The sequence below is a fragment of the Homo sapiens genome, chromosome 5 (genome assembly GCF_000001405.40).
Source record: "Homo sapiens chromosome 5, GRCh38.p14 Primary Assembly".
Taxonomy (NCBI): Eukaryota; Metazoa; Chordata; class Mammalia; order Primates; family Hominidae; genus Homo; species Homo sapiens.
The window spans coordinates 148,799,275-148,811,754 of record NC_000005.10 but is presented as its reverse complement, the minus strand read 5'-3'; the positions used below and the strand labels follow the sequence as shown (position 1 = coordinate 148,811,754).

The window sequence follows — 12,480 nt, the reverse complement described above, 5'->3', positions numbered from 1 at the left end:
TTCACAGTGATGGGTTTAGGCAGAAGCTTTTGCAGACCTCAACAAACTCCTTAAAACGTTTGAAAATGTTGACTCCAACATGAAATGATTTTCATTAGTAGAGAGGAATGTTCATCGTGCATTATCTATTTACAAGCAAATCTATGATGAATAAAAGAAACAAACCAAACAAACCACCATGAACACATTTCTGAAAAGAGTGACATCTCAAGAAGAGCCTCAGGCAGGTCCTTCAGGAGGTATCCCAGAAGAAGAAGGCATTGTTATCACAGGACATGACAGCTCCCTGGGTGTTATTGCCCTTAAAGGCCTTCCAGTAGGATAAGGTGTGGAGATGGAAGGTGCCGATTTTTATGATCCTGACCCTACATAGGTCTAGGCTAATGGGTAATGGTGTGTTTGTGTCTTAGTTTTTAAAGAAAAATGTAAAAAGTAAAAAATAAAAATAACATTAATATAGGTAAAAGTTTATAGAATAAGGATATAAGGAGAGAAAAAAATTATCTTCCTCTGTATTTGTGTTTCAAGCTGTGTTACTACAAAAGAATAAAAAAGTTAAGAGAAATTGTTTTTAAAGTAAAATAGTTACAATAATCTAAGCTTATTGTTGAAGAGAGAAAAATTATTTTATTTATAAATTCAGCATAGCATAAGCAAACAGTATTTATACTGTCTATACTAGTGTACAGTAATGTCCTGGGTCTTTACATTCACTAACCACTTCCTCATCGTCTCACCCAGAGCAACTTCCACTCCTGCAATTGCCATTGACGGAAAGTGCCCTAAAATGTGTACCATTTGTTATATTTTATACCATATTTTTACTGTACCTTTTCTATGTTTAGCTACACAAATTCTTACCATTGTGTTGCAGTTGCCTACAGTATTCAGGACAGTAACAAGCTGTACAGGTTTATAGCCTAGGAGCAATAGGCTATAGCATACAGCCTAGGTGTGCAGTAGGCTCTGTCATCTAGGTTTGTATAAGTACACTCTATGATGTTGGCAAAATGATGAAATCGACTAATGATGCATTTCCCAGAATGTATCCCAGTCACTAATTGGCACATGACTATATATGATATTCTGGAAGGGGCAAAACTATGGATACAGTAAAAACAGGATGTTTTTACTGTATCCATACTGAGGACTTTTCTCATGGCCCCATCCTGTTTTTACTGTATGGACCTGGGCCTGGGGAGAGGGAGGGATGAGTACATGGATCACAGAAGAGCAGTGAAACTATTTTTAGGGCAGTGAAACTATTCTGTAGGATACCATAATGTTAGATGTAAGATATGTCACTCTACATTTGTCAAAACCCTTGGCATGTACATCAAGAATGAACCTTAACATAAACTGTGGAGTTTGGATGATTATGATTTGACTGTATAGGTTCGTCGATTGTAACAAATATACCTCTTTGGTGTGGGATGTTGCTAGTAGGGAAGGCTGTGTGTGTGTGGGTGTGTGTGTGTGAGGGCAGTGAGTGTAAGGAAAATCTCTGTATTTTCTACTCAGTTTTACTGTGAACCTCTGCTTTAAAAAATAAAGTCTAATATTATTATTATTTGAGACAGGGTCTCACTCTGTCACCAGGCTGGAGTGCAGTGGTGAGATCTTGACTCACTGCAACCTTTGCCTCCCGGCTAAAGTGATCCTTCCACCTCAGCCTCCTGAGTAGCTGGGACCACTGCATCCAGCTAATTTTGTATTTTTTGTAGAGATGGGGTTTCACCATATTGCTCAGGCTGGAAGTCTATTATTTTTTTAGAAAGGTGGCTCTGTGCCAGCTGATCTGAAGCAATATTTAAAATACATCAAGAAGTAAAAAAGTGAATTGTACAAGTGTGAGTAGCATGTCTCCATTTGTGTAAACAAACAGTTGTATGTGGCATCTATCCAACATAAATGCTCACCATAGGAATATGTGTATATAAATTCAATAAATTAGTCTAATGTACAATGACATTTTATGCTGTAGTTCAAAGAATGAACTAGATATATATGCTGGTACATAAAGATCTCCCAGATATGAAGTAAGAAAGGTTGAAACAAAACTACGTAAAATATCGCCTTTTAGTATAAGTAACACGTGTTTATATTCACAAACATATTTTGGAAAGTAGAAGCAATTAACAACGTATATATAACATAGGGGACTAGGGACTGGGGCATGGGACCTGTGGAGCGGCCCCGACAGTATACTTTTACTTTCATTTTGGTACTCACCTGTTTTGTTTGAGTTTTTACTATGACTACTATTAAAAAGTGCAATTCAGTAAAAACAAAACCGAAAATCAAAACTAATGCTCCACAGATTTCTTGAATATAGTGTCATGGCCACAAGAGTCCTTTCCTTCATCTCCTCTTTTTTTGGGTGGAGAAATTGAGAAGCAAAAGTTAACAAACTCAATAATAAATCTGTGACTATAGCGACCAAGAGTGGGGGTGGGGCAACGATGTGCCGCAGATAACAGCAAAGAAGTAAAAGTAGAAATTGTTAGAATTTTTAGTAACTTGGAGGGGAAAAGAGGAAGGATGTGAGAAGAAACCAGGAAATGAAAATAAAGATGGCAAAAACTTGAACAAATGAGGAAGGTGCTAGAGAAAAGCCTGAGCTTGCTCAAGCAGTTTCTGGGGCTTATTTTTTGTCCTGAGTGTATGTGACTGCATGTCTCTGTGTATGTCTGCTGATGTGGCCGTTTTTGACAGCCTGGTGGATTAACAGGGCTATAAATCATTCTGTCTCAGAGTTGGAGTGCCCTGAGGGATTACTTTGCTCAGCAGAGCGCCACTTTGGCAGAGGGACCTCAAAGGCAGACAGACACCAAGGAGGGTGGGAGGTCTTGGTCCCCACCCCGGCTGGTGCTGCTCCACTTCTGGCTGCTTTCTGTATCCTGCTTCTGCGTAAATTTGTATTTGTGCAAATCTTCCATTGCTGAAAAATATCCACTGACATACCAACCCTTTCTTAATACAAACAGGGAAACAGGTCCTTAGTGAGGAAAGAATTTGAGAAATATCACAGAGGTAGTAGGAGAAACAGGTCTAGAATATATGGTTTCTGACTCTCAATCTCTGTTACTGATTTATTTTACCTTTTAGCTGAGCCAGAAAAGAAAAGGAAAAGGCCTGAAGGGAAGTTTAAATTTCAGTGGCTTAAGTGGAAAAGGGGATATTCCTAGGGAAAAACAATATTAGACTTGCAAAAACCAATAAGGAGAAAAATTATCAGTAACTATAATAGAATAGACAAAAGAGGAAAATTGCACTCAAATATTTTCGCGGGTGAATTGAACCGTAAAACTAATATTTAAAGATTCAAATGTCAGGGATTTAAATAAATTTTGCCAATGCAACCAAAAAGTGTAACAATTTGATTACCTCTTCTGGGTCAGTCACTTTGCAAGGTGCTGTTGATACAATGGTGAGTAATTCAGACACAATTGCTGTCCTCAACGGTCTGCAGTTGTGTGTATAGTTTGTTGGTTTGAACAAAACAAGAACATGCAATTGCTTATATGAATGATCCTTCAATTCACTCTTGAGCTGCCAATTATTTGCAAAGCTCAGCAAATACTGATATGCACTGACTCATAAAAAGATGTTGGTCTCAGCCTCTGTGAAGTTCAGAGTCAAGATTAAAATCAGCCACTCAGGGGAGCCTGTTGAGGAGGAGAGACCTAAAGTACTTCTTACTGGTTACTGGAAAATGGAGGAGAGACTGGGTAAACAGAGCAGCCACGGGAGCAAAGCAGAGTGTTGCTAAGAGGGAAGGGAAAGAGGAAGAACAGAGGCTACTGCCCCTTGGAGGGCTCTGACATGCTGATATGCTTCACTCGGCTGACATGCTGAGTGAAGCAGCAGGTCAGTGACCAACAAGCCCTGAGGATGCAGCACAGACCCTCAAAACCCCAGAATCCTAAAGCTGGGACTGCCATGCAAGACCCAGGAGTCCAATTCTCCCTGCACAGATGAGAAGCCTGAGGCCCACAGGTGGGAAGTGGCTTATAATTGTCACATGCAAATTGGAGGCAGTGCAGGGATCAGAACCCAGGACTCACAGCTGAGGACTTTTCTCATGGCCCCATCCTATCCTGTGAAAGGAACATGACAGTAACTAAAGACAGGATGTTTTGAAGTCAGATAGACCTGGATTTGCATCCCAATTCTGCCACTTGCTGCTGACTGTATGATCTTGGGAAAGTGTGTCTATTAACCTTGGTCCCTTCATCTGTAGAATGGGGATTGTATAAAGGCTTGTCTCCAAGATAACCATCCTGGATTCCTTGTATCCTTCATGCACATGCCATTGCCCCATCAAGAAGTGGAGTTTATTCTTCCACCTCCTCGAATGTGGTCTGACCTGTGACTGCTACGTCCAGTGAATTCAGTGAAAGTGAGGCTGCCAGTTATGGAGCTAGGCTTTTAGGGGACTGGCAACTTCTGCCTGTCTCACCAGAACTGCTTGCTCTGGGGAAAGTCCTCCACTATGTAAGAAGTATACTATTCAGAGACCTCCATGCTATGAAGAAGCCCAAAGTAGCCATGCGATGGAGCAGCTGCATGGAGACAGATCCCCCACCCAGCCTACTCCAGCCACCAGCTCTTTTAAGATTGTTTGTTACACAGCAGTAGGTAACGGGAGCACTTACCACCTGAGACTATTGTGTGGATTCACGAGACAACTATTTAGACAGGGCCTGGCACATGGTGAAACTGAATAAATGCTACCTTTTTATTTTCATGAATTTAAAATAAAGAAACTCCCAGCACCTCCACCGTAAGTCTCTTAGAATAACTGAATAACTGTCTGCAGCACCCCTAATGGATGCATTTGCAGACCACACAGAACAAGCCCCATCGCTCCTCTGTCCCACAGCTCATGGGCCTCTGGAGACAGCCCTGCATGTCCCTCACAGCGTGCTGCAGCCATGCTGACCTTCTCAGCCCTTCCTGTGAGTCAGGTATTTGCACATGCTGTTCCCAATGTCTAAAAGTCTTTCCTTCCCTTCTGTTTATCTCTTACTTTCTTGCTCATCTCTTAGCTCTCAGTCTTATCATCGTTTCCTCTGGAAGTCTACATCCCCACCCTCTGGGACATGCTCTCAAAACACTGGGCCCTTCTTCCCAGCAGTTATCTCAGCCTTGCACCTTCGCCTTTATTTGTGAGATCATTCCATTAATATATTTTCCAAACACTCCCTCAGGGCAGAAACAACATAGACTTTACTTGCTGTTGCTTATCATTATATCCCCCAAATCTAGCACCAGCTGGAACTCCTGAATGTGTTGATGCTCAATAAGTAATCTTTGCAAGCAAGCTCCATTTTCCTTGTGTCTTTTCTTCCTTAGACTAAGCATCTGCAGTCCCTTCAAGGTGTAGGACTTCATATCAAATTTGTTCCCTTCTCTTCCATTGATCTCTAGTTGAGGCTGCTCAGCCCACATTTCTTTCAGTGTTCACAACCTCCAAGGCCCTGCCCTCAAGTTCCACAATTAGTGGCTTGTTTCACCTTTTTGCTATTTTTGGAGAAGGCCTCCCCAATACCAAGCAATTTCTCCTTTCCGGTTGTCTGTTATGAAACAAGTTTGTTCCTCAAACTTGAATTGTGGGTCTCCAGGGCTCTAGGCAAAACTGCTACATGGGCACCCCCTTGGGCTCCCAGCCCCTCCCTGCATCAACTCTCCAACACCACACCCCTTCCCCTCCCACTCCAGCTTCTTTTTATAGCCCTAGTTGAGGCACCAATCATCACTCACTCAGAGAAATATATTTATATCACCTCCAGTCTCTCCCCACTCCAGTCTCTCCTTCCTACCAGCTACCCCAGGAATTTTCTGAACTACAAACGTGCTCCTGTTACTTCCCAGCCCAAGACCTTCAGTGAACTTCCCCCGCCCCCACACTGCCTTTGCCATTAGCAGCAGTTGCAAACTGGCATTCACAGCCCACATCTGGCCTATGGATGTCTTTGGTGTGGCCTGCAGAGTGTAAAAAATTAATTAGGCTTTAACATTTAAAATTTGAGTATCTTCACACAGCATTCCAGATTGCCAGTTTCTCTCAGTAATGTCAATGACCCAGCCACACTGGAAATATGAAAGGAGCGAGCTGAAGCTGAGAAGAGCCTGCTCCCTTGGGGCACATGGCTTGGAGTTTGCCAGTCTCCACCTCTCCCTGAAGTCCCCCGGCTTTCAGGCTGAGTGGGCAGCTATCATTTGTCATTGCATTTGTGGTGACTCATCCCACTGTTCCACTTGTTTGTGCTACCTTCCTGCCTTCTGCAGGCCCCTGCGTTGCTGCCCCATCTGGCTTATAATAATTCTCAACTTCTGAGCATGTCAAGAAGTAGAGGAGGAGGAAATGAATAAAGAAATAACATTTTCGTCAGCTAGTTGAGTAGCATTTACAATTCACAGATTACTTTTTTTTTGTATATGGGCCGAAATTATGGTTACTTTTTACTTTCCTCGTTGTGTTTTCCTATAGATCCCAAATTTTCTACAATGACCATAGGTTTCTTTTGCAAAGCTAGAATTTAAATAAAGGCTATACCTACAGAATTTTAGCTATGTATATAAAATTTAGAGCGCTTTGCTCCCCTTATATGTTAACTCATACTATTGCCTATGTTATCCAAGTTGGTCACTTATCACATGTTACTACCATTAGTTCATAAATTAAATAAATTTAATCCACCGTTTACTTCTTCTCATAGTTTTACCTTTTTTGTAATTATTTTATTGAAGTATAACATACAAATAAGTACAAAAATCTTAAATATGCTCAATGCATTTTTATAAGTGTATTTTAATGCCTAATGCATTTTCAAAAAATGACTACATTTTATACATAGCACCCAGATTGAGGAAGCACTTCCACACATATTAGCTCATTTAATTTTCATGATCTTGAGAGGCAGGCAGAATTGCAGGTGAGGAAATTGAGGCTGACAGGAGGCAAAAATAAATGACTTGTTTTAGGTCCCCCAGCTCGTATGTGGCTGAATTGAGACTTGAACCCAGTCTCTGTGCATTATAACCGACTTTCAAAAAGAGCCATGACTGTTGAAAGGCAGAGAGGCAATGTCAGGAAGACAGAACTGGAGAATACAATGCTGCTGTGAATCAGACGCGTGGCAAATTTAGGATCTGTGTGTCTAAAAATCACATGCTCTCTTTACTCACCTCCCAACTTGCTCCTTTTTCCCCTCGACCCCTCCTCCCCCTGCTGTCATTTTGGTTATTTTTCCATTTACTGCTCCAAGTTCAGTGAAACATTCCTCTTAATGGCACGTTTTGGAATCAGTTTGGCCAATAGAGTCACCACATTGAAGAAATTCAGCCCTGGCTTCCTTCCTCTGCCTTTATTGGAGCATGTAAACAGTAGCTGCAGAACCAGAAACAGGAGATGCCCTATTTGTTTGATGGCTAAAGCCTGAGATAGGACCCTCTAGAGTGATGTCATTCAGAAATCCCAGCAACTCCCTGGTGCTGCTTCTGTCAAATCCCAGCTCCTACTTGGAAAGGCCCTTCGATCATCTAGCTCTTTCCCCCTGCCATGGATGGGGAATCTAAAGCTCAGAGGAAGAAAGATGTTTGCCCAAGGACAAGGTCAACCAGTGACGGAGGTAGAGTTAGAAACCCATCGGCAGCCCTGTTTCCTAATTATGTGAAACCTGTATACCTTTATATCAGGTTCTTGTGCTGGTTACGTACCTATCGCATCTCAGCTTCAATTCCACCTTCCTGTCTGTTCTATGATGCTAGTGCTGGAAGTCTACTAACTATATTTCACAGAATTTCTTGCTGGGTATCTTGATGTTTCCTTCTGGCAACAAAGGAGAGTTAGCGTTCTATCTCTAGCTCCTTTTGGCACCCCCACTATAAGCTGCGGGTATTTCCCAACTAAGAAGTCTGAGATCCAGCCACATGGTTTCTCCTCCTCCTGAGGTGTAAGCATCAGATAGGCATGGCAACCCCCTATAAATTTGAGTTTCTTGTAGCCTTTCCATTTCCTTTCTCTTCTCTCAATGCTATACGTGGTAGCTACTTTCTGCAGTTACTCATATCTAAATTTCTTCATCATTTTCTTTTTGTTTGTATAAACTTCCAAGAACTGTGCAATGAACTCGGCACCCCCACTATAAGCTGCGGGTATTTCCCAACTAAGAAGTCTGAGATCCAGCCACATGGTTTCTCCTCCTCCTGAGGTGTAAGCATCAGATAGGCATGGCAACCCCCTATAAATTTGAGTTTCTTGTAGCCTTTCCATTTCCTTTCTCTTCTTTCAATGCTATACGTGGTAGCTACTTTCTGCAGTTACTCATATCTAAATTTCTTCATCATTTTCTTTTTGTTTGTATAAACTTCCAAGAACTGTGCAATGAACTCCCTGTATTTAATACCTTTTATTTGAAATACCTAGCATGGTTTCTCATCTTCAAAGTAAACTCTAATGATATGTTACTTAAAAACTTTTACTCTCTAATTTTTGTAGTTTCTACTTCTAAACATACATAGAATTATAAAATAAGTGATGTCTAGAATATAGGAAGGGACATTAACATTTATTTATTCAACAAATATTTACTTGAGATGCATCTGGGTTATGGAACACAGTATTAAACAGTTCTTGGGTGCAAAGTGTTTGAAGTCTTGTGGGGAGACAGGTTAGTAAACAGTCAAGTATAAAGCAGAGTAAAAACTGTTATGAGGGGTGTAAGTACATGGGGGAATTGGGAGGATATGAGACCCAAATCTAAAATGGGGAGGTGGCAAAATATTAAGGAGGACTTCTCTGAGAAAGCAAGATCTAACTTAAACCTGAGAGACAAATAGGAATTAGTTTGCCAAACAAATGGGTGGGTATGTGAGGTTGCTGGAAGAGATATTATGGGCAGAGATGATAAGAGAACCTGTCAGGGCATATTACAAGTTGAATTAGGTAACCCCCCTGCCCCACTAAATTTATATGTTAAAATCCTAGCCCCTAGTACCTCAGAATGTGACCTTACATGGAAATAAGGTTGTTGTAGATGGGATTGGTTAAAATGAGATCATACCTGGAGTAGGGTGGGCTCCTAGACCCACTGTAACTTGTATCCTTATAAAAAGGGGAAAATTTGAAGATAGACAGGCACACAGGGAGAAGATCACAAGAAGACAAAGACAAAGGTCAGAGTGACACACTACAAGCTAAGGAACACTAGATATTGCCAGCACACTATACCAGAAGCTGGAAGAAAGATGTGGAACAGATTAGATTCTTCCTAACAGCCCTCAGAAGTTATGACACCTTGAATCTCAGACTTCTAGCCTCCAGAACTGTGAAGCAATAAACTTGTCATTGAAGTCACCTGGTTTGTGGTACTTTATTATGACAGCAATGAATACAAACTAGCAAACTAGTATGGGGACTAATCATGAAGGACATTATTATTATAAGCCTTGTTAGTAATACTGTACATTTAATAAGCACTTATTAAACATTAGGCTCCAAATGCCTTATAGGTATTAACTCATTTAATCTTCATGACAACTCTAAAACGTGCGTACTATTATGATCTTTACAAATAAGGAGAATGAGTATGGAGAGTTCAGGTGACTTGGTCAAAGTTACCTATTTAATAAGAGATGTGAAACTGAGCTTTGAACCCAGACTGAGAATAAATATCAGTTACATAATACCACTGCCTGTGAAAGGTTAGATTTTTAACTCAAGATCAGTGCCTATCACTGGAGATTTTTTGAAAGTCAGGTTTACTGAGGTATAATTTGCAAACAGTAAAATGTGCTCTTTAGTGTGCAGTTATGTGTATTTTGACAAATGCATATGGTTGTGTAACCACCACTATCATGAGTTGGGTAGCCACCATCAACGGTTTTAAGAGTGTTAAGGACAGCAGTGACACAGCACATTTTTCATTTTAGAACTATCCTCCTGACTTCATTATGGGGAATAGATCAGAAGGGGCTGAGAACAAAGATGGGAATGGAAGATGGTGGTGGCCTGGACTGGAGTAGTAGGATTGGACACAGAGAAAAGTGAATGGCTATGAGACGTACAGGAGTAGTAAAAGCTATGGACCTTAGAAACTATTGCTTCTTGAGGCTTCTAACCTGTAAACATGGGTCAAGTCTGAGTGACCCTCTGATCATCTGAGATTTTTAGCAAAAACTTTAAAAAAAAACCCTAATTAGGCAGAACACAATATTAAATGTCACCAATAACATGTACTCCCTGACTGCAGCTCTTTTTCTGTAACCTGCTCTGGCCAGGAGTCACTCCATTAGTCTTAGAACAATGCTTAGTTATAACCGAACCTGAGAGAGTTATATAATTTTGAGGCTACATCATGAAATTGGGCTTATGATGAAAGATTTCTTGAACAAAAGTGGTGAAGATGGGCGTGCTTAAACAAACCTTCTGCGTACATCTGAGAAATTTGGATCATTTTCAGTAGTTATTTACTGACTGTGGACCCTCTTGAGGCATTAGTGCCATTAGTACTGATTCCACATAGCCTGTGTATGTTCATTTCTTAAGACTTCCTTCTCATCATTTTGTTCTTTGCTCAAAGGTCCTCTCTTCAGAGTGGCTTTTCCTGACCATCTTGTATGAAGTAGTAACCATCTTAGACCTGTCATTTTCAATCTTTTATCTTGCTTTATTTTCTTCATGAGGTTTTCTGATTTTGAAACTTTTAACCTGTGTATTCTGTGTCCTTTACTTCCACCACTCCTAAAATACAAGCTCCATGAGTGCAGGGACTTTGTTTGTATTGGTTATTGCTCTGTTATCAGTGTCTGGAATGGTACCTGGCACATAATGGGCACTCAATAAATATTTGTGGAATGAATGGATGAATGAAGCTATGGTCCACCATTATAAAACTTCAGTATCCATGATCTAATCTCTAATCCAGCCACTTCAATTTGCAGATAAGGAAAGGTCAATGTAGATGAAGAAATATGCTTAAAGTCCCAGAGCTGGTTGGTGGCTAAGGCCAGATGGTACCCAAGTTCCCTGGTTTATAGCTGAGACAGACTTCTTTCCCCTGCTTCATGTGGCCTCTCAAACTTGTCCAATCCCAGCACAGCAGAGTGGATTAAGAACATGGACTTCAGAAACCGTCATACCTGGGTTTAAATCTGAACTCCACTACTTGGGCAGGTTGCTCTACTTCTCAAAGTCTGTTTTGTTAATTTATAAAACAAAGATAAAACCTACATAGTAGCATTTCTGTGAGTCATAAATGAGATAGTTCATTTGAAGTGCTTTGTGTGGGGGGCCCAGGAAAAAATAAAATTTTCCCTAATACTAGATATTGCTGTTCCTCTGTGAGAACCATCAGTGGGTTTCATATCTTTTCTGACTTCTGGTAGGCTTGAATAATTTCTCAATTGCATTTTAAGCTGTGGGTGACAGCAAAATATAAGGGGTATGTTAATGTATGATGGAAAAAAAGAGGAAGGGGTTCCCCCGTATGACAGGGAAACACATATATGAAAAAACCTGTCCTGTTCCTCATTAAGTCCCATTTTTTTATCTGCAGATTGGATGATTGAATTTATAATCTCTATGATGCTGCCTATGCCTGACATCTTATGATTCATTCTCTGAAAATAGAATGAGGTTAAAATGGCTCATGCTTAGTATAACGGAGAAGTTGAAAGAACATAATCTAGCTTATCAACTTCTTTTTTGTTTCTCTAACAGTAGTGGATTGTTTTGAAATTCATTTCTTTCTTAAATGAGTAGTCAGCCGGGTGTGGTGGCTCATGCCTGTAATCCCAGCACTCTGGGAGGTCGAGGCAGACAGAGTACTTGAGGTCAGGAGTTTGAGACCAGCCTGGCCAAAATGGTGAAACCCAGTCTCTACTAAAAATACAAAAATTAGCCGGGTGTGGTGGCGGGCGCCTGTAATTCTGGCTACTCGGGAGGCTGGGGCAAGAGAATTGCTTGAACCTAGCAGGTGGAGGTAGCAGTGAGACGACATAGCACCACTGCACTCCAGACTGGGCAGCAGAGCGAGACTCCGTCTCAAAAAAAAAAAAAAAAAAAAGTAGTCACTGCATATCTGCTATTTGCCAGGCACATGATAGGAATGGAGATGGTTTTGTCTGAGAATCTCAATATTAGATGGGTAGTCTGTGCTTCTTTTAGGCACAAATGCTGGGCCAAATGCTCTCTGCACTACTGTATTAGATCTAAAATCAAGGTGTCAGCAGAGTTGGTTCCTTCTGAGGGCTGTAACAGACCATCTGTTCTATGCCTTTCTCCTAGCTACTGGTGGTTGGCTGGCAATCTTTAGTGTTTCTTGGCTTTCAGATGCATCACCATGATCTCTTCCTTTATCTTCACACGGCATCCTACCTCTGTGTGTGGCTGTCCCTATGTCTACATTTCCACCTTTTATAAGGGCACCAGTGATATTGGATACAAATGACTTCACCTCAACTTAAATATCT

General features: G+C 40.9%; 5 annotated features.

Annotated features, from left to right (window-relative positions):
* Positions 2,163-2,212: an enhancer, noted in NCBI's record as "active region_23368". NCBI's record gives its function as "activates an Ori minimal core promoter by ATAC-STARR-seq in GM12878 lymphoblastoid cells {active_cell/tissue: GM12878}" and the evidence as "EXISTENCE:reporter gene assay evidence [ECO:0000049][PMID:35858748]".
* Positions 2,263-2,312: an enhancer, noted in NCBI's record as "active region_23367". NCBI's record gives its function as "activates an Ori minimal core promoter by ATAC-STARR-seq in GM12878 lymphoblastoid cells {active_cell/tissue: GM12878}" and the evidence as "EXISTENCE:reporter gene assay evidence [ECO:0000049][PMID:35858748]".
* Positions 2,603-2,682: a silencer, noted in NCBI's record as "silent region_16490". NCBI's record gives its function as "represses an Ori minimal core promoter by ATAC-STARR-seq in GM12878 lymphoblastoid cells {active_cell/tissue: GM12878}" and the evidence as "EXISTENCE:reporter gene assay evidence [ECO:0000049][PMID:35858748]".
* Positions 5,698-5,747: an enhancer, noted in NCBI's record as "active region_23366". NCBI's record gives its function as "activates an Ori minimal core promoter by ATAC-STARR-seq in GM12878 lymphoblastoid cells {active_cell/tissue: GM12878}" and the evidence as "EXISTENCE:reporter gene assay evidence [ECO:0000049][PMID:35858748]".
* Positions 6,148-6,227: an enhancer, noted in NCBI's record as "active region_23365". NCBI's record gives its function as "activates an Ori minimal core promoter by ATAC-STARR-seq in GM12878 lymphoblastoid cells {active_cell/tissue: GM12878}" and the evidence as "EXISTENCE:reporter gene assay evidence [ECO:0000049][PMID:35858748]".